General features: G+C 47.4%; 1 protein-coding gene across 2 annotated transcripts, besides 3 other annotated features; it reads left to right on the forward strand.

The window, feature by feature from the left end:
• Positions 1–1109: 1109 nt before the first annotated feature.
• On the forward strand, positions 1110–20752 carry BPIFA2 (BPI fold containing family A member 2). Of its 2 annotated transcripts, none has more exons than NM_001319164.2 (9): positions 1110–1238; positions 8471–8642; positions 12272–12416; positions 13419–13526; positions 14747–14899; positions 17487–17568; positions 18944–19007; positions 19860–19937; positions 20564–20752. In NM_001319164.2, the coding sequence occupies exons 2-8, from the start codon at positions 8486–8488 to the stop codon at positions 19898–19900; spliced, it is 750 nt and encodes a 249-aa protein (NP_001306093.1). In that variant the 5' UTR covers positions 1110–1238; positions 8471–8485; the 3' UTR covers positions 19901–19937; positions 20564–20752. The 2 variants fall into 2 exon arrangements, with proteins under 2 accessions (NP_001306093.1, NP_542141.1); NM_080574.4 differs by lacking the exon at positions 1110–1238 and adding an exon at positions 7499–7549.
• Positions 5637–6138: an enhancer, noted in NCBI's record as "H3K27ac hESC enhancer chr20:31754103-31754604 (GRCh37/hg19 assembly coordinates)". NCBI's record gives its function as "activates a minimal SCP1, AML or CMV promoter by ChIP-STARR-seq in primed H9 embryonic stem cells {active_cell/tissue: H9 hESC(primed)}" and the evidence as "EXISTENCE:reporter gene assay evidence [ECO:0000049][PMID:30033119]".
• Positions 6139–6638: an enhancer, noted in NCBI's record as "H3K27ac hESC enhancer chr20:31754605-31755104 (GRCh37/hg19 assembly coordinates)". NCBI's record gives its function as "activates a minimal SCP1, AML or CMV promoter by ChIP-STARR-seq in primed H9 embryonic stem cells {active_cell/tissue: H9 hESC(primed)}" and the evidence as "EXISTENCE:reporter gene assay evidence [ECO:0000049][PMID:30033119]".
• Positions 16961–17462: an enhancer, noted in NCBI's record as "H3K27ac hESC enhancer chr20:31765427-31765928 (GRCh37/hg19 assembly coordinates)". NCBI's record gives its function as "activates a minimal SCP1, AML or CMV promoter by ChIP-STARR-seq in naive H9 embryonic stem cells {active_cell/tissue: H9 hESC(naive)}" and the evidence as "EXISTENCE:reporter gene assay evidence [ECO:0000049][PMID:30033119]".
• Positions 20753–21076: the final 324 nt, after the last annotated feature.

Here is a 21076-nt window from a genome sequence, read left to right on the forward strand (position 1 = left end):
GTCCCTCCCTTCTCAGGAAGAATAAAGGTCCCTTCTGTAATTCCACACTCCCTCCACCAACCTCCTTCCCTCTCTCGTCCCTTCGCAGCCAAAGTTCCTTAGAGCTGTGCTTCTCCACCTTGAACACACAAATGAGCCACCTGGGCTCTTGTTAAGATGCAGGTTCTAGAGCAGTTGGTCTGAACTAGGGAGAGGCCAGCGGTCCATGGGCCACCCTTTGAGCAGCATGCTTATTTTGGATACATCCACCCCACCACCCATCTTGTTTCCACTGGTTGCCCCACCAAACTCGGCCTTACCAGGTCCTCCGTGATCACCAGGTAGAGGAAGTCAATGGATCATAGATGAGGTCAGCCTCATCTTGACCATAGCACACATACCACTTCCTCCTCCATGAATCCAGTTCTTCCCTTGGCCTTACTCCCCTGGCTCTCCTCCTCCTCCTCCTCTGACCATTCTACCTCTGCCTCTTTGCAGATGTAATATTTTCAAATCGGCCAACCAGTGGCTTCCTTCACCCTGGCCACTTTGGTTGGTTCATTGCTCCGCATGTAACCCCAGCAGGACCAATGGGAATCAGTCCTAGAACTTGTGAAGAGATATTAGGAAAGACATACTTTCTTCTGCTAGACTATTAAGAGAGAATGTGGACCTGAATCTGTTGGTGGCCATCTCTGCCACCTCTTTGGGGAAGTCAGTTTGAGGAGAAACCCCAAGCCAAGTCATGGAAAGAAACAAAGGCCTGGAGATTTCTTTTGAGCACCTAGATTCAGCCATGCCTGAAACCCGTTGGCCTGCTAGTTACATGAGCCAATGACTTTCTTTCACATCTAAGTCACTTTGGGTTGTGTTTTCAATTACAAATATAACCCAAAGAATCCTGACAAATGCAACTGACAAACATTTCAGTTTATTGGCAAGCCATGGTGGGAAACCAGAGATGAACCCCAGAGAGAACTTGGCCTCCTGGAGTTGACAATGGAGAAGAGACAGCTGTGGGTGTGTAGGCAAGGAAGACACCTGTTCAAAAATGACAAGGCAGAACGTGAGAAAAGGTCAGCTGGGTGGCTCAATGAAGGCTTTATATAAGAGGTGCTTGCAGGATGGGGAGAATTTGCAGGGGGGTGACATCCTCAGACCTGGCCCTTGGCACTGGGAAGAGTTGATGCAAAGAAATTCTGCGAGGCCAGAGAGGAGGCTTTGGGAATTGTCCAGCAGAAACAGAGAAGTCTGAGGTGGTAAGCCAAGACCCCACAGAAACAAGTCCTTCGAGGGTCCCGGACGAAAAGACAAGGAGCTATGGTACTTCTCCCATGGTTTTGATTTTTTTGTTTTTTTGAGATGGGGTCTCGCTCCGTCGCCGAGGTTGGAGTACAATGGTGAGATCTTGGCTCACTTCAACCTCTGCTTCCCGGGTTCAAATGATTCCCCTGCCTCAGCCTCCCGAGTAGCTGGGACTACAGGCACCTGCCACCACACCCGGCTAATTTTTGTATTTTCAGTAGAGACGGGATTTCACCATGTTGGCCAGGCTGGTCTTGAACTCCTGACCTCAGGTGATCCACCCGCCTTGGCCTCCCAAAGTGCTGGAATTACAGGCATGAGCCACTGTGCCCAGCCTCTCCCATGGTTTTTATTCCCCCTTTTGATTGAGTGGCCACCACACGATGCTCCAGGATTCTGCATTCCCCCTTTAATTTAATGCCTCCCCAGTCCCTACTAGCCAGGATTAGCACCGATTTTAGAGAGCAGAAGACACTGTCTCAGACAGCGGCCATGCCTTGCCTAACATCACACAGCTGGCCAGTGGCGGAATCTAGAATGAGGCTCTGCCCTCTTTCCCACCCTTAATCCTGCCGCTGGGCACAGCACTTCTGAGTTATCTTTACTGAGCACTTATGATGTGCCCGACACTGGGCTAACTCTTTTCCAGGCTTAAGTCCCAGATCAGCTATGTCAGGCAGATGATCATGGTCACCATTTTGCAAATGAGGAAATGCAGGCCCAGAGAGGCAATGCCACCATTCCAGAGTCACACAGCTAGAAAGCAGCAGGGTTAGGACCCAAATTGAGGTCTGGCTGGTTACCCAAAGCCCCTGCAAGATAAATATACCCAGACTTAGCCACGTTTTGGAATCCTCCCATCATTTGTCTTCTACATGATCTGTCTCCACCTACCCCACAGTGTCATAGCACTTCCTCTTTCACTCCCAAAGTGCTAACTTCGACCCCATTCAGTGCTTAAAGGAAGGACCTTCACCAGGGCTGGGCACTGTGCCAGGGACAGCAGCTCCCCATTTGCTTGGGGCCATCAATGCACAGAAAATTTGCAAGAACTGTACCTGCTTTGTGGAAAGTAATTGTCAGTGTGCGTGTTGGCCTCTGCCCCTGCTGGTGGGGTCTAAGGATGGACACATGTGGGGGTGCTCTGTGGGGCCCAGAGCCCCACACAGGACAGGACCCAGGTGAGACGCTCTGTAAGTGTGTGACGAATGAATGAATGACAGGATGGGTGGGTGGAGGGAAGGAAGGACTCTTCTTGTGATTCTGGGTCTCATCTACATTCATCTATTCAGTCTGTGGATTAACTTGCTTTTCTCACTTTAATTAATTGTGGTATTTATTGGGATCCACCAAAAGCCAGGCCCCAGGCTGGCTGCTGAGGACACACAGATGGCAGAATCATGATCCCCAACCTTAAGGAGCCCCAGTCCAGCGGAGGAGAAAGGGCTAACCCACAACCCTTCAACCAGTAAGCTTTTATGAAGGGATTTCTCTGACACAGGCTTGGGGCTGGGGGTGCTAGCGCAATGGAGATGAATCGAAAGGACCCACACAGCCCAGGGAGGATTCCGACTGTTAGAATATAAATGGCAGTGCTGCCGGGCACGGTGGCTCATGCCTGTAATCCCAGCACTTTGGGAGGCTAAGGCAGGCGGATTACTTGAAGTCAGGAGTTTGAGACCAGCCTGGCCAAAAGGTAAAACCCCGTCTCTACTAAAAATACAAAAATTAGCAGGGTGTGGTGGTGCATGCTTGTAATCCCAGCTACTCGGGCGGCTGAGGCAGGAGAATCACTTGAATCCGGGAGGTGGAGGTTGCGGTGAGCCGAGATGGACTTTGTTTAAAATATATATATATATATATGTACAGTATAAATGGCAGTGCACTGTGAGTAGCTCAGAGCATGGACTCCGGAGCCAGGTTTTCTGAGTTCAAGCCCCAGCTCTGCCACTTACTAGGTGTGTGACCTTAGGCAGTACACATTACCTCTCTGTGCCTCAGTTTCCTTGTTTATAAAATGGGAATAAGACAGTCCCTGCCTCTGGTTGCTGGGAGGAGTAAATGGAGAGAATATGCCTTCTTGCCAGACATGGGCCGATCGAATCAGCTCACCTACTGCCCTGGAGTTGGCCTGTCTCTGGGACAAGGACTGAGCTTCAGACATCTTTGACCCCATCACAGGGCTTGGGGTGCCCACTAAAGGGTTGTCAAAAGCATGAGTGGCTCCAGCAGAAAATAATTTGCACTTGTAAAGTGAATGAACAATAAATAAATGGACAGATGACTAGATACAGGGCCAGGCCCACTTTAGCAGGGAGGATCTGGAAGATGAGAGAGGGCACAGAGAGATTGAGGGGCCAAATTCCAGGGAGTGAGGTGAGAACAGGGAGCGACCCAGAGAGCTCGCTCATGTCAAGAGGCCCACCCACCTGGGGAAGACAGAAAGTCAATGCCCATGAGGGGAACCAGACCCTGTGCTGGGTACTGGGACCTCGGAGATGCTGTGGTCTTGCCCTCAGAGAGTGGGACTGGCGAGACGTGGCTGACCTCCCTCCCTCCCTTCTTCTCTTCCTTTTCTCCTCCCTTTCTTCTTCTCTCTCCACATCCCCTCTCTCTCTTTCTTTCTTTCTTTCTTTCTTCCTTCCCTCTCTCCTTTCCTGCCTTTCTTCCCTCCCTCCTTCCCTCTCTTTCCTTCTTTCCCTCCCTCTCTCTTTCCTTCCTCTCTCTTTTTTCCTCCTTCTCTCTCTCTCTTTTTCCTTTCTTTCCTGCCACAAACATCATTTGACTCCTGCTGTAGACCAGACCCTGTGCCAGCTCTGGGGGAACGAAGGTGAACGAAGACAAGGTGCCCAGACTTCAAAGGACCCAGGGGAGGACCCTGACCCGGTGAAAACTCCTTTAAATTTTCTCTGGGAGTGTTGGATGAAGCATTCAGGGAACATTCCATGGGACAGGAGGAAGAAGACTCCAGCCTGCAGTGGGGCAAGGCCCCCTCCATCTGTCAGTCCATAGGAAGTGGCTCTCCATATTCTAAAGGCAGGACTTGAGAGGGGTCTATTAGTGTCCAGATGTGGAATCCGGGACTTAGGGAAATACTTGAGCGCTGAAAGAATAAACTGTGTCACCAGAAGAAAACCCGGCAAAGTCAAAATTACCAAAAGTTGAATTAAAGGTCTTCAGACTGTAACATTGTGACAACTTTATTAATTGCTCTATTTAGCAGTCACAGGAAGGACAGTAACGTGTGAACAGGTTTTGTTGCTTTGATCTTTCTTATTTGCCCAGAATTCCTGAGTAGGCAGTTCAAGTGTGAGAAACCAGGACCTACTAGAAATTGGATGGATGATTCGTACTTGACTGATTTCACAGGCAAAATGGTGACAAGCCTTTCAGCAATTTTACTAGCAAAATAAGGCAATTATCTTTGATGGGTGCAATGGGAGTGCACACCTGTGTGTTTGTTATCTGGAGAAGGGGTGGGGGCTGCTTCTGTCCACAGGAGAAGGAAGGTCAGTGGGCAGTCTGGTCAGCTGAGCACCCCCCAGCCTGGCTGGCCCCTCATGCAACCCCAGCCCTGTCACTCGCTTTCTCTGGTCTCAGTAGGCTGCATGACCTCTTAGGCTGTTTCTAGCCAGGGCACTGAGCCAGGTATGGAAAAAGATACCAGCTTGGAGGTTAAGGCTGGGCCAGTGGGATCAGGAAGCTGCCCCAGCTGGGGATTAGCAGTCACGCAGCAGGTAGGATGTCCTAGTCTTGGCACAGCTAATCTTTAATGCCTCACTGGGAATTTTCAATAAGAAATTCATCTCGCGACCCTCATGGCTGGGGCCTTTGTCCCTAAGAGGCAAACATCTTCTATGTGAGAAGACTTTGTGTAACCTGGAGAGGGAAGAAGAGGAGGAGGAGGAGCACACAGGAGGAGTTGTCACTGTTTCTTTTTCCGGAATGACTCAGACCAGCCAGCCTGAACCTCGGGTGACCTCTGAGGATCCCAACCTCCCCACCCACCAAGGACCCTATATTATATATTATATAATATTAATCTTATGACAGATGCTCCTCATTTTATTTTATTTTTGTTTGTTTGTTTGAGACGGAGTTTCGCTCTTTTGCCCAGGCTATAGTGAAGTGGCACAATCTTGGCTCACTGCAACATCCACCCCCTGGGTTCAAGTAATTCTTCTGCTTCAGCCTCCAGAGTAGCTGGGATTACAGATGCCTGCCCCCACACCCGGCTAGATTTTGTATTTTTAGTAGAGACAGGGTTTCACCATGTTGGCCAGGCTGGTCTCGAACTCCTGACCTCAGGTGATCTGCCCGCCTCGGCCTCCCAAAGTGCTGGGATTACAGGTGTGAACCACCATGCCTGGCCAGATGGTCCTCATTTTATAATGGGTTGTGTCCCAGTAAACCCATAGTAAAGTTGAAATATTGAAGTCAAACCATCGTAAGCCGGGACCATATGCGCACATATTCATCAGCATCTTCTTCGCCATCTTTGCTGTTGCCGTGCATCATGGGCCTACCCTATGCTAAGCCTTCATGGGTATTACACTAATTTGACCTCACAGCATGCCCTTGAGGTGAGCACTGTTCTTAGTCCCATTTCACAGATAAAGAGCCTGAGGCTCAGCAAGGTGCGGTCTCTGGCCCAGGTCACATGGCCAGCAACCAGCAGAGAGAGAGTATTCATGCCCAGGACAGCCCAAGCCCAGTGCCAGGCTCTGAGCACTGCCCTCAAAGCCCCTCACCATCGTTTTGATTTCCTAGGTCCTTGCCTGTCCACCATGCCTCTGAGATCCAGGAACAGCGTGTTTACCCATTTTACAGATGAGGCAACTGAGGCCTGGGCCAACACCAGGTCTCGAGGTCACTGCATCATGCTCAGCACCCTGGGCTATGTTCCTGGGCTGGGACAAACTGCCTTCACAAGATTTCAGCACAGCCCTTGGCTCTGTGCTTCACAACTGGGGGAAGAGCGGGGCTCAGACGTTTGGAGAACCCGGTGTCAGGCAGCCAGGGAAGGAGGTGTGACAACCATTCAAGACCACAGGCAAGACTGCAGCAGGGGTCTAATGGTCTGGGCTCTTGGGGCCTGGCCATCACCTTCCTGCAGCCGCCCAGCTCTGTGCTGTAACAGTGGAGCCATGGTCAGTGTAGGAACAGCCAGCTCCTGGAGCCACTGGTCTTGTCCCACCGTTTGCTTGGTTGCATCATTTTGAGGACAGGCCCCCCAGGTCCTTGCTGAATTGCAGGTGGGTGAGCAGAAGGGCAGAGACCTATGGTGACCCTGAGCTCTGTGCCAGTCCTTCCCAGCCTGAGGCCAAGTGGGCACCCACCCGAGTTTCCTGTGCTGTTCCGGGTTGACACAGGCCCAATGCAGCAGGCGTTACAACCAACCCAAACATCAGTGGCCGAAGCAAAAACAGGATACTCAGGCCCAGGGACTCTCCCTCTCTGCTAACTGACCTCAGCCTGATATGGGTGGAAGGGTCTTCCCTGGTGGCCCAAATGCCTGGTTCCTGTCCTTGCAAGTATGGACAAGCCACCTCCCTCTCTGAACTTCAGCTTTCTCAACTGGAAAATGGAGCTCTGAAAACCTGCCTTACAGAGTTTTCATAAAGACTAACAGAAAAGTGCATCTAAAGTGCCCTTTAGGGACACCAAGCCCAGTGTCAGCACAAGCAGCTGCCAGGCATCTGCTGCACCTGCCGGGTGCAGACCCCTGGGGGCAGGACCCCTGGGAGGCTGTCTGACTCCTTGTGGGCCACAATTCTAGACCCATCTCGGTCCCTGTCTTGCTGAATGACCCCAGGCTGGTGGCTTCCCCTCTCTGAGCCTCAGTTTCCAAATGATGACGGAGTTAGACCGGATGGTCATTATGGGTCCTCCTGCCAGGACATTCTCCAATTCATTCATTCTCAGTCTTCTCCCAGTCCTCACCCACAAGGACCAAGGACCACCCCCTCGGTAGCTGCAGGCTCCATGAGGACCTGGTCTTAGTCTTGGCGGAAAGCCCTCTCCATAGCCATCCGTTTCAATTCAAGCATCCTGGGTGACCTTTGAGTTGGAAATCTCTCTCTCTGCTCATCCTGGAGAGGGGTTATTTTCCTTGGAGTGTCCTTGGATGATCCCAGAACCAAGGCTTGCTTCTGTGGGCAGCCTTCCATCCCATCTCCACCATATAATAGCCGCCACCATTCAGCAGAATCCCAGCAGACTGTGCAGTGGGGCAAGGATTTCATGAGCATCCTCCTCTAAACGCGTGAGTGGCGTGCTCCCCCCAGTGGCACCACACGTGGTGGTCTTTGGAAGGCTTTGGGGGCAAGAGGCAGAGGGGTGGGATTGCTTGGGTTAGCTAATATTTTGAATACAGCAGAGATAATCAATATATCTCTAAATGTGCTCTAAATGGCAAGTTCGTGATGAGTACTCACTAAAGATTCCATTTCCCTCTGGGCAATTCTTACTCCTGTTCTTCCCATGACTGTCCAGGTGTCAAGACAAATGGCAAATCAGAGTAAATTTAGAGATCTATAGATTATATTAAAATAAGTGTCAAACTAATGAACAATGCAGGGTCATGAGGTGGTCTCCATTGATTTGTTCATACTTATATTCAACAAAGATTTATTCGTTTACTGTACTGTACTAGGTGCAGGCTTTTTACTGGCGCCTGAGGATTCGACAGTGAAATAAGTCACAGTCCTTCCTCTAAGGAGTTCACAGCCTGGTAGGAAAGGTGGTCAAATCATCAGGGAAGTGTTATCCAAGACCTTGATCAGGATAATGAAGGCAGCAAGGTGGGACTCCTCCAACCTAGAATCTGGGAAGGGGCCTACAGTAGGCTTCACAGAGGGCATGATGTAGGAATTGACCTAAGTGGAAAAGTAAAGAAGAAGAAAAATATTTTAGGCAGAGAAGACAGCGTATGAAAAGGAACTTTGTGTCAAGAGTATGGGCTTGGAGTCAAGTCTGACTTTTCAAATCCCAGCTCCTCTGCTCACTGACTGTGTGTCTCCGGGCAAGTTGCTGTAGCTTTCTGACCTTGGCTGCCCATTTGTAAAATAGGAAATAACCACATCTATCTTAATGGAATGCTAAATGTTAAGAGTGATGGGAACTCACTGAAGAGTCCATTTCCCTCTGGGCAATTCTCACTCCTGTTCTTCCCATGACTGTCCAGGTGTCAAGACAAAAGATGCTTCAGCTTTGGAAACTTGTTCTCCTGTGCGGCGTGCTCACTGGGACCTCAGAGTCTCTTCTTGACAATCTTGGCAATGACCTAAGCAATGTCGTGGATAAGCTGGAACCTGTTCTTCACGAGGGACTTGAGACAGTTGACAATACTCTTAAAGGTAAATCAACAAGGGTGATGAACAGTGTCACCTAAATTAGCCTCCTAAACACTATGCCTGCATTACCAGAGGCTGCCACCAGGGGCTACTCTTTATGGGCGGTTTACTGAGAAAAGTGGCTATTCAATTCCTGACTCATTCGTTTATCTTTCTAGAAACAAGCAATGCCACAATGAATAGCCTTTTACATATTATATCCTGATAAACGTGCATAAGATAAATTCCTACAAGTGGGATTTCAAAAGTTCAAAAACTATGCTGTTGACAAATAATCTCCTATGTTAACACTTTCTCCAACAGTCTACGAAAGTGCCTTTTTTCCCACTCCTTTTCCAGCACTGGGTATGGACAACTTTAAATATTCTGCCTGTCTCACAGATGAAAAGCTATAACTTATTTCACTTTGCATTCCTCTAATTATGAAGGAGCCCTCTTCTTTTTTCATATATTTACTATGTACTTACATATTTTAACTTGAGGATTTTGTCTATATTCTTAGCATATTTTTCTTTTGGGTTGTTTAATATTCTTTTATGGACTTGTGTTAATTCAGTGAAAATTAAGGAAATTATCCCTACCTAGCCTTGGTATCTGTAAAGCTACCTACCTTTATATTTATTTATACCTCCTTTTTATGCTAACCTATTAAAATAACTTGGCTTTCTTTTTGTTTTATGGAAACATTAGCAGCACATCAAAAACAGTTTTTGTAGGAGGAGGTAACTTCTGCAAATGGCTGCCTTTCAAACCTTGTCAAGGGCTTAGGTAACTTTCAAAGATGCAGAAAGGACTCACACTCTAATTTCACAGCTGAGAAAACTGAGGCCCAGAGACAGAAATGTCTAAACCAAAGTCACCTCGTGAATTATACGATTAGACGTAGTTATATCACCAATTTTATTTAAAGTGTCATTCTCTGAATCATTATAACTAGGTAGATATTGTCCATTACAGAGCCAAGTTACAATATTATGATTACATCTCTTTTCTTATACGGTATAGTCTTTTGTTTTTCCTTAAGTTAGTAATTGCCCTGTTGTTTCTCACTTGAATTATTTTCTTCTCATATATACTTAATTATTTTCATGAGCATCATCCTGTATCTATCATGACATTTATTATTTTTTGAGACAAGGTCTCACTCTGTCACCCAAGCTAGAGTACACTGCCAGCCTCAACCTCCTGGGCTCAACTGATCCTCTCACCTCAGCCTCCCCAGTAGCCGGGACTACAGGTGCACACCACCACACCTGGCTAAGTTTTACATTTTTTGTAGCGGTGGAGTCTCACCATTTTGCCCAGGCTGGTCTCGAACTCCCGGCCTCAAGTGATCCTCCTGCCTTGGCCTCCCGAAGTACTGGGATTACAGGCGTGAGCCACCACACCCAGTCACGACATTTATTCCCATCCCCCTGTTCTCCAGAGACCTATCATAAAGACACTTTGTCCTCCTCCTCCTATAAGAATTATTGCTTTCTTTTGGTGCAACTGCTTTTGGTGTCATGAAGTCTTTGCCCGTGCCTATGTCCTGAATGGTATTGCCCAGGTTTTTTATGGTTTTGGGTTTTACATTTAAGTATTTAAACCATCTTGAGTTAAGTTTTTAATAAGGTGTAAGGAAGGGATCCAGTTCCAGTTTTCTGCATACATCTAGCCAGTTTTCCCAGCACCATTTATTAAATACAGAATCCTTTCCCCACTGCTTGTTTTTGTCAGGTTTGTTGAAGATCAGATGGTTGTAGACATGTGGTGTTATTTCTGAAGTTTCTGTTCTGTTCCATTGGTCTATATGTCTGTTTTGGTACCAGTACCATGCTGTTTTGCTTACTGTATCCTTGTAGTATAGTTTGAAGCCAGGTAGCATGATGTCTCCAGCTTTGTTCTTTTTGCTTAGGATTGTCTTGCTATATGTGCTCTTTTTTTGGTTCCATATGAAATTTAAAGTAGTTTTTTTTTCTAATTCTGTGAAGAAAGTCAATGGTAGTTTGATGGGAATAGCAGTGAATCTATAAATTACTTTGGGCAGTATGGCCATTTTCATGATATTGTTTCTTCCTATCCGTGAGCATGGAAAATTAACAAATGGGATCTAATTAAACTGAAAAGCTTCTGCACAGCAAAAGAAACTGGCATTAGAGTGAACAGGCAACCTACAGAAGGGGAGATCATTTTTGCAATCTATCTATCTGACAAAGGTCTAATATCCGGAATCTACAAGGAACTTAAACAAATTTACAAGAAAAAAACAAACAACCCTATCAGAAAGTGTGCAAAGGATATGAACAGACACTTCTCAAAAGAAGACATTTATGTGGCCAACAAACATATGAAAAAAAGCTCATCATCACTGATCATTAGAGAAATGCAAATCAAAACCACAATGAGATACCATCTCACACCAGTAAGAATGGCAATTATTAAAAAGTCAGGAAACAATAGATGTTGGCAAGGCTGTAGAGAAATAGGAACACTTTTGCCCTGTTGGTGGGACTGTAAATTAGTTCAACCATTGAGGAAGACAGTGTGGTGATTCCTCAAGGATCTAGAACCAGAAATACCATTTGACCCAGCAATCCCATTACTGGGTATATCCCCAGAGGAATATAAAACATTCTACTATAAAGACACATGTACACATATGTTTATTGCAGCACTATTTACAATAGCAAAGACATGGAACCAACCCAAATGCCCATCAATGATAGACTGGATAAAGAAAATGTGGTACATATACACCATGGAATACTATGCAGCCATAAAAAAGAATGAGATCATGTCCTCTGCAGGGACATGGATGAAGCCAGAAGCCATCATCCTCAGCAAACTAACACAGGAACAGAAAACCAAACACTGCATGTTCTCATTCATGAATGGGAGTTTAATGATGAGAACACATGGATGCAGGGAGGGGAACAACACACACTGGGGCCATTTGGGGGCTTGGGGGCAAGGTGGGGGAGAGAATTAGGACAAATACCTAATGCAGGTGGGGCTTAAAACCTAGATGACGGGTTGATAGGTGCGGCAAACTACCATGGCACATGTATACCTATGTAACAAACCTGCACATTCTGCACATGTATCCCGGAACTTAAAGTTAAAAAAAAAAAATTATTATTATTGCTCTGTGGACCTGCTGGAAAGCTGTCATTCTGGGACTCTCGTTTTCCAGTTTCATGGATTGGAGCCATTTTTTCTCCTGGATTCTAGATTTTTCATTTCTTGAGTGTATTCTCTCATTCTTTCTAGTTTTTCAAACTCACGTGAGCATCTCACTTAGCACAATGGACCCCTAAGTCACTCCTAGACACTGGTGTACAATCAATAGCAATTGCCTGGCCAACTGGTTGATTGCACTGTTGATAAATAATCAGTATATATTATTAATAGTACGGAGGCAGTATGGAGGAAACAAGAGTTCCCTGGCTGTGTGGCTAGACACGTTTCTTAACCATCTAGAGCCTTTATTTCCTTAGCTATAAAAAAGCAGACAGTGACAATATCTACTTCACTGAGTTGTTATAAAGATTAAATGAAATAACATAGGCAAACAGTCTTACCCGGTACCTGGAGCATCGTAGCTACTTCGTAAGTGGTGCGTGACACAAAATGGCGATTGTTTTTGGCAGGCATCCTTGAGAAACTGAAGGTCGACCTAGGAGTGCTTCAGAAATCCAGTGCTTGGCAACTGGCCAAGCAGAAGGCCCAGGAAGCTGAGAAATTGCTGAACAATGTCATTTCTAAGCTGCTTCCAACTAACACGGACATTTTTGGGTGAGTTGGTCCTTCAGGGTGGAGATCTTTGCTCTAAGGAAAGGGAAAACATATCTTTGAGGAGGTAAGTTTAAGATGAAAGACAGATGGACAAGCCTCATTCCCCTCCCACAGAGCCAAGGTGGTCTGAGCAAGGCCAGACCCACCAGAGCTTGAGTAAATTAGAGGCAGGGCTACAGAGTCAATCCGGGCATCTTATGGGTTCGGGCTTCCGCTTTCTTTAATTTCAGGGTCAGGGTGAAGGTTATATTTATCCTTACCTCTACCCATTTGCTGGTACACAAAGTCCCTTTCCAAGGAATAAAACTTCCCTTTTCCATATATAACTGGGGGTAAAAGCCCAGATCCCCTTAGGGGAAGGGAACTGGAGTCTTCGCCACATAACCCCAGGCAGTGGATCCACTCACATACTTTTATTATTATTATTGTTATTATTATTATTTTTTGAGATGGAGTTTCACTCTTGTTACCCAGGCTGGAGTGCAATGGCACAATCTTGGCTCACTACAGCCTCGCCTCCTGGGTTCAAGCGATTCTCCTGCCTCAGCCTCCTGAGTAGCTGGGATTAGAGGCATGCACCACCACGCCCGGCTAATTTTGTATATTTAGTAGACACAGGGTTTCTCCATGTTGGTCAGGCTGGTCTCGAACTCCCGACCTCAGGAGATCTGCCTGCCTTGGCCTCCCAAAGTGCTGGGATTACAGGCGTGAGTCACCGTGCCCGGTCCCACTCATGAACTTTTAAAGTCAGATAGTTCTGGCCTCAAAATCTGCCTCTGGCACTTACTCCCCTAGGAATCTGGGGGAAAATCACACCAGCCTGAGCCTCAGTGTGCTGTGCCATAAAATACAGAGAATCAAACCTCTGAACAGGGCTATAGTGAAGACTAAAGAAGGCAAGGCTGACGAGACCCAAACGCTCAGCTCGAGGCTGGCCCAGGGAAGTGGTTGGCAAGTGGCTGTCATGAGGAGTGACAAGGGTGAATTGTGGGTTTCACACAGGTTGAAAATCAGCAACTCCCTCATCCTGGATGTCAAAGCTGAACCGATCGATGATGGCAAAGGCCTTAACCTGAGCTTCCCTGTCACCGCGAATGTCACTGTGGCCGGGTGAGTATGCACTAGAATCTGAGATTTGGGAAAGGCAGTGCAACCTGGCCGATGGATGCCCAACCTGGGAATCGGGCACCTCCTCCCGCTGCTGGGTGAACTTGGGCCTCAGTTTCCCAATCTGTGAGTGAGAGAACCCTTCTGGGTCTAAGATCTTAACCCTTAAAATGTTCTAGAGAACTCTGGCCATAAGCAAGTGTCTTTTAAAAACAATGCTCCATTGAATATAGTTTTGAAATCATGACATTTATCTGGTTTTAAAATTTGAAAAGTTGAGATAACAAACATTTATCATTCTTTGGCAAAATTTCCTCCAGCATTATTTTGTCCCTCAAGATTCTCTCTAAGTTGCAGTGACCACTACAGAAAAATTCATACAATAATACACAGTGTATAATAAAGTGTGTGTGTGCAAAATATAAGTTTAAACTCTTTTAAGTTTAGCTGGGAGTGGTGGCTTATACCTGTAATCCCAGCAATTTGAGAAACTGAGGTGGGAGGATTGCTTGAGCTCAGGAGTTCGTGACCAGCCAGGACAATATGACAAAACCCTGTCTCTACAAAAAATACAAAAATTAACCAGGTGTGGCAGCACACGCCTGTAGTCCCAGCTACTTGGGAGGCTGAGGCAAGAGGATTGCTTGAGCCGGAGAGGTCGAGGCTGCAGTGAGCCGTGATTGCACCACTGCATTCCAGCCTGGGCGACAGAGTGAGACCCTGTCTCACAAAAAATAAAAAATTTTAATTTTAAAGGAGATAGACAAGAAATGAGCATGTGTGAAAGCACTTCTGTAAACTACATGCACTAATGATGCCACCCATTATTTAGCTATGAGATCTTGGGATAGTTACTTAACCTCTCTGTACCAAGGTTTCCTCATTCAGAAAATAGGGATAGTAATAAATGAATCCAGGTAAAATACTTTTTTAAAGTACCTACACATAAATTGTTGTCAATAAATGTTAACTATTATTATTTTACTTATTAGTGTAATGTTGTATAAAAAATTCATATGAGCTAAACCCAAGTGGCCAGGAGAAGAAGCCCCTAATATAAACATGTAAATCTCATAGAGGATATGGACCATGTTGATATTACCTGGGCCATGTTGACATTACACATAGACATTCTGACTCATGTCCACACAGGTGGAGGAACCCAACTGGGCAACAGGCAGGAACTTCTAGACTTTGTTCACTGTGCATCTTACTTCCTGCAGGCCCATCATTGGCCAGATTATCAACCTGAAAGCCTCCTTGGACCTCCTGACCGCAGTCACAATTGAAACTGATCCCCAGACACACCAGCCTGTTGCCGTCCTGGGAGAATGCGCCAGTGACCCAACCAGCATCTCACTTTCCTTGCTGGACAAGTAAGTCCCATTCATCTTAGTAGAGCTGGGCTCTCAGGGAACTTGAGGACCCCTAATTTCAGCTCTAGTCCTCTACCTAAGAGGAGGCCTAGTGGTGAAAGTGTTCAGGCTCTGGAGTCATGTTGACCTTGGTTTACACATCAGCTCTGCCACTAACTTGTAACTTTATCACCAACTTGACCCAGGCCTGTTTTCACATCTGTAAACTGGGGGTGTTCATAATAACTACTCATAGGCTTCTGAGATGACCAGATGAGAAAATACAAATATTTAGCACGCAGCCTGGAACATGCTGCCTCTCTGCCTGCTGGTTCTCTCCATTACTGAGACTGGAGTGTTGAGCTCCCCACCATAATCATGGATTTGTTCATTTCGCCTTTCAACTCGGTCAGTTTCTGCTTCATACCCTTTGGAGCTCTGTTGTTAGGTGCATGCACATTAGGATTGTTATGACTTCTTGGAGAATTGTCCACTTTATTGTTATGTAATGTCCCTCAATAATAATAATAATAATAACGATAAAATTATATTTACCTTCTTGCCTCCAGTTGGGAGGGAGAGGGGAGAGTAAGTGCCTGCCACGGGCTCTAATTTCAGATTGTCCCCAAATCATCCTCCACCCAGTGGAAATTTCCTGAAAGGAGATCTTGAAAACTTAATCCTCTCCATTTGACTCACTGATCCCTTTTAATCCACAAAATCTACATCTTAAGCTCTGTGCCTGAAAGAGCAGGTTTGACTCAGGCAAGAGGGTGGAAGGAGAAAGAGTGATGCTGGCCGATGGCTGGGAGAGGATGAATGACCCAGAAGCTGAGGGCTGGGGCTACTTGGCCTTGGCCAGGAGCAAGGCTGGGTCCTCAGCTCTCAGCCCCTGTGGCCATGAGCAGAGGACACTCCACTCGCCCTGCACTGAGGGATCTGAACACAGGTTGCTCAAAGACCCCTGAAAACCAAAGAAAGTTTCCATAGCCTGATGTGAGTTGCGAAGGCCGGGGTGTAAATTCAGAGGCTGGAGCCTGGCTGGGTGCTATCTTCCCAAGTAGCCTCAGGGACGCCATCCTGCTGCACTAGGTCTGTGCCCACATCTGTGAGATGGCACCACTCTGAGGCTCCAGATCCTCCCAGGGTCTTTCTTTGCACTTGTGGTTCAATCCCAAGTGCTCCCCATGGTCATGAAGGCTCTGTTTGATCTGGCCCCACCCTTGTATCCCTGTACCCTCCCCTTACTCACTGTGCCCAGATACAGTGGCCTTTGTGCCATGTCTCAGATAGGCTGTTTCTCAAGGCTCTTTCCCAGCTTAAGACCTTTGCCTGGGGTGCTCTGGCTACCTAGAGCACCTTCTTCTCACTCCACTTTGATGGACTTTTGCATCCTTCAGGGCCTTCCCAGGGCTCCTCCTATTCTCTCTCGTAAGAGTCTAACTCTTGCCTTTAAAGCACTCGTCACAAGTTCTCAATATATATTTAATTGTATGTTCACTTCTTTCATTCTTTCAGCCAAAAATGTATTGAGGCTGGGCACGATGGCTCCACACCGGTAATCCCAGCACTTTGGGAGGCTGAGGTGGGTGGATCACTTGAGGTCAGGAGTTCAAGACCAGCTTGGCCAACATGGCAAAATCCTGTCTCTACTAAAAATACAAAAATTAGCCGGGGGTGGTGGCGGTTTCCTGTAATCCCAGCTACTCGGGACGCTGAGGCACAAGCATTGCTTGAACCCAGGAGGCAGAGGTTGCAGTGAGCCGAGATCGTGCCACTGCACTCCAGTCTGGGTGACAGAGCAAGACATTGTCTCAAAAAAAAAAAAAAAAGTGTATTGAGCATCTGCTGTGTGCCAGGCAGGCACCATTCTGGGCTCTGGAGAACTGATTGGTGATGACAGACAAGGTCCCTGTTCTTGCGGAGCTTACCCAAGGGAAAGCTAAGCTGCCGTGGATCTGTGTCCACATCTGTGAAATGACACCACTCTACAGCTCCAAATCCTCTCAGCGCTTTTCTTTGCACTTTGGATCCAATCCAACCCAAATTCAGTCCATCGGTAAAGAACGCTCCAGGGAAATGAGTCCTGCAGAAAGCATTACCCTTAACTGGGCACTGTGATAGCAAAGCTCTCTCTTAGGTAAGCAGTCAGGGAGGGGTGCCCTGAGGAGGTGGCAATTATACTAAGAGTTGAAGGTGGGAGGAGCCAACTTTGGCAAGATTTGTTTAGGTACCACATCAGGGTATGTTTGGACCCTTAATGTTTAGGTACCAGGTTAGGGGATGTTTGTACTTTACTTATTCGGTATCCTCAGGGCCCAGCTAGGTTCCTGGTGCATAGCTGGTGCTCTGTAAATACGGGTTGAATGAGTGAACGAATAAGGTCTCTGCGCTGAGAATCTCATGAGGCACTGGGGTGAGCCGCTGGTCAGATGTGGGAGTCTAAGTGATGATCCATGTGGATGGGAGGCTCTGTCTGTTAAAGTGTCTCCATGTCCCTGGGGTTTATCTGACTCCACAGTATTTCCCGCACCGCCCCCAACTTTTTGGCAGTTCTCCCATCTCTTGCCCACTTGACCAGACTTTAATAGTTCCCTGTGTTTTCCAGACACAGCCAAATCATCAACAAGTTCGTGAATAGCGTGATCAACACGCTGAAAAGCACTGTATCCTCCCTGCTGCAGAAGGAGGTGAGTCTCCCACTCCTTGGAGCCCAGATCCAGGCCTGGTGGGGGCAGGTGGGGGAATTTGCAGGCCTGGCTGTATCCTCTGAGCACTTTTCCTTCGGAGGTGAAAGCTTCTCCTTAGGAGGTCAGCTGGAGCTTCCTCCTCTACTAATCAGCCTGGTGGGTAGCAGGGTAGAGCAGAGGCCTGACATTAGCTGAAATTGCCAGGTCCCAAACTTGAGCCTCTCACCATATCCACGCACTACCAATATGCTTTTGTAGCTAACATCTTCAACACAATTTTACTTAAATATGTTTCTTTAGAAGCATTTATTTTTAAAAATAAAACTTTATATCCCTATCATAAATAGAAAATTAATATCACATATCATACAATCAATGGACTTATAAAATAGTTTTAATTTTTTTTCCATCTGTGCATCATCCAAAACCATAGGTACCATGTGCAGGATTACTAGGCCCAAAGTTGCAGAGATTCTAAATCAGTCATTCTGGAAGCAGACCCAGGAATGTGGGTTTATAAAAGAAAAATCCTCCGGATGGCTCTGTGACCCACTGAACCGGAGTTTAGTTATATTCCAAAAGCGATCCTCCACCAGCTTCAGCCTCAGCTGGGTGCTTGATAGGAATGCGGAATCTCAGGCCACACCCCAGACCTGCTGAATTGCAATCTGCGGGGAACTGTGTACACACAGGAGCAAGAGATACTCCGCTCTACAACCTCAGGGCAAATGCCTCAGGGCACCATTTGACCCTTTAAAATTCCAGGGTTCCAAAGTTCAACATGGGAATGTTAACAATCTAGAATGTAGATTTTTGAGGTCCTAGAATTCTAGTGTTCTAAGGTGTTAGGATTCTAACACCCTAGGGTTTCCAGATTTAAGACTGCTGGGATCCCATTGTTCTAAAATCCTAAGGTTCAGGCCAGGCGCGGTGGCTTATGCCTGTAATCCCAGCTCTTTTGAAGGTCAAGGTGGGCAGATCACTTGAGGTCAGGAGTTCAAGACCAGCCTGGCTAACATGGTGAAACCCTGTCTCTACTGAAAATACAAAAATTAGCCAGGCATGGTGGCATGTGCCTGTGAACCCAGTTTCTTGAGAGGCTGAGGCAGGAGAATCACTTGAATCTGGGAGGCGGAGGTTGCAGTGAGCAGAAATCGTACCACTGTACTCCAGCCTGGGCAAGACAGTGAGATTCTGTCTCAGAAAAAAAAAAAAAAATACAATAAAACAAAATAAAATCCTAAGGTTCAAAGATTCTAAGATCCCTAGAAATGAGCTCATCTGTGGGTGGCAAGCAATTTGTTCTCAGCTGAGAAGAATGATCTGTTCTTCCTCCTACTCCTGACCCTCCTCTTCCTCCTTTCTCCGCTGTCAGATATGTCCACTGATCCGCATCTTCATCCACTCCCTGGATGTGAATGTCATTCAGCAGGTCGTCGGTAAGTCAATGGGGAAGTGGGGACCTTCTGAGGCAGGCATGGAGCTCTGTGCCCACCCCATAAGCAGTTCTGGTCAGGGGACCCTGGAGAAGCAGAAGGACCCACTGTCCTAAGCAAATTGGGAGCCATGGCTTCCCCTCCACAGGCACCCGGGGGCTCCCTTTGGCTTTTGGGTCTACAGGCATGGCTGGGGTTGCTGGGGAGAAATGGAGTAAGTAAAGCTGTCAAGACCCTGGAGGTGACCCTTCTATGAAAATAGCCACAAGTCAGCCAGGCGCAGTGGCTCACACTTGTAATCCTAGCACTTTGCGAGGCTGAGGTGGGCAGACCACTTGAGTTCAGGAGTTTGAGACCAGCCTGGGTGACACGGTGAAACCCCATCTCTACTAAAAAATACAAAATTAGCCAGGCGTGGTGGCATCCACCTGGAGTCCCAGCTACTCGGGAGGCTGAGGCGGGAGGATTGCTTGAGCCTAGGAGGCGGACATCGCAGGTAGCCGACATCATGCCACTGCACTCCGGCCTGGGTGACAGAGTGAGACCGCAATCTCAAAAAAAGAAAAAAAAAAAGAAGAAGAAGAAAGGAAATAGCCACAAGTCCAGTCCCTTAGGCAGTCACTTTGTGCTCTGTACACACTATCTCACTGGATCCTTGCAACAACCCTGTGGGGAAGGTACTGTCATTGTACCCACTTTACAGATGAACAAACTGAAGCTCAGAGAGGTGGAGCAACATCCCTGGGGTCCCACAACTGTCAGGTTACCGGCTGGAGAGCGGCATCTTTTGGAGTCTGGTCTCTATTCAATTCCAGTGGCAGAGACTAAGGCCTGCTATTGATTTTGTTTCTTCAGATAATCCTCAGCACAAAACCCAGCTGCAAACCCTCATCTGAAGAGGACGAATGAGGAGGACCACTGTGGTGCATGCTGGTGAGGAGCCAGTCTCTGTGCCCCAATGCACAGGGGCCTATGGTGAAGTAAAAGTCAAGCGTGGCTTCCCTTATTTTTGTGTTAGAAGACTGTGCCTTCATCTCAGTCATAGATTGAGCCCTGGCCCCCATCCCAGGCTAGGCCCTGATTCTGGTCACACTCTGAACACTGAGCCTTAATCACTGAACTCTGATTCTGGCCCCAGACTGAGCCTGGATCCTAGTCACAGACTGAGCTTTGATGCCAGTTATTGACTGAGCCTTAGTCTTGGTCACAGAATGAGCCCCAACCTTGGTCTCAAATGGATATCCATGATTCTGATCACATATTGGGCCCTGAACCTGGCTCCAGTAGTGGCCTCAATCAATCTTTTCACATCTACCATTGTTCTGAAGGAGGGTGAGGGGAATGAAGATGAGTCAGTGCCAGGTGCTAATGAAAGACCCCAAACCACAGGTGCCAGTTTCTTCTTCCCAGGACTTAAACCGCATGGGGTATTGTGGGAAAGAGCTGGGACACTGGAGCCAGGTCAACTTGGGTCCCATCAAGTGCCCAGTGGATGACTGACAGCTGGGTGTAAGGGCAGCCTAGCAGCAAATGTCCTAACCCCCTTGGTCTCATTCCAGATTGGTTCCCAGTGGCTTGCCCCACCCCCTTATAGCATCTCCCTCCAGGAAGCTGCTGCCACCACCTAACCAGCGTGAAAGCCTGAGTCCCACCAGAAGGACCTTCCCAGATACCCCTTCTCCTCACAGTCAGAACAGCAGCCTCTACACATGTTGTCCTGCCCCTGGCAATAAAGGCCCATTTCTGCACCCTTCTGTGTGGCTTGTTGCATTCCCTCCATTTGGGATTTGTTGGTGGGAACTGGGGAGGGAGGTTGGGGGCTGCAACTAGGGTGGGAGAGACCTGGATCCAGAGCTAGAAGGCTCAGTGGGAATATCCAGCCACATCTCCTGGTTCTATAAAGGGGGCCACTGAGACAGAGAGGGCAACAAACTAGCCCAAGTCACACAGCCAATCTGTGGCAATAGCAGACCCCTGATCTATCCATTCATGCATTCAACAGGTATGTAGTGAACACCTACTCTGTGCCAGACAGGCAATGGGAACTGGAAAGTCACATTCTGGGGACAGCC

Source organism: Homo sapiens, chromosome 20 (genome assembly GCF_000001405.40).
Source record: "Homo sapiens chromosome 20, GRCh38.p14 Primary Assembly".
In the NCBI taxonomy this organism is placed as follows: domain Eukaryota; kingdom Metazoa; phylum Chordata; class Mammalia; order Primates; family Hominidae; genus Homo; species Homo sapiens.

What these genes read in the sequence shown, in the direction of transcription:
- BPIFA2 (NM_001319164.2), top strand. Translation starts at nt 8,486, where the DNA reads ATGCTTCAGCTTTGGAAACTTGTTCTCCTGTGCGGCGTGCTCACTGGG. An exon ending in ACTAACACGGACATTTTTGG is followed by an intron (nt 12,417 to 13,418) that starts GTGAGTTGGTCC and finishes GGTTTCACACAG; the next exon opens with GTTGAAAATCAGCAACTCCC. An exon ending in TCACTTTCCTTGCTGGACAA is followed by an intron (nt 14,900 to 17,486) that starts GTAAGTCCCATT and finishes TGTGTTTTCCAG; the next exon opens with ACACAGCCAAATCATCAACA.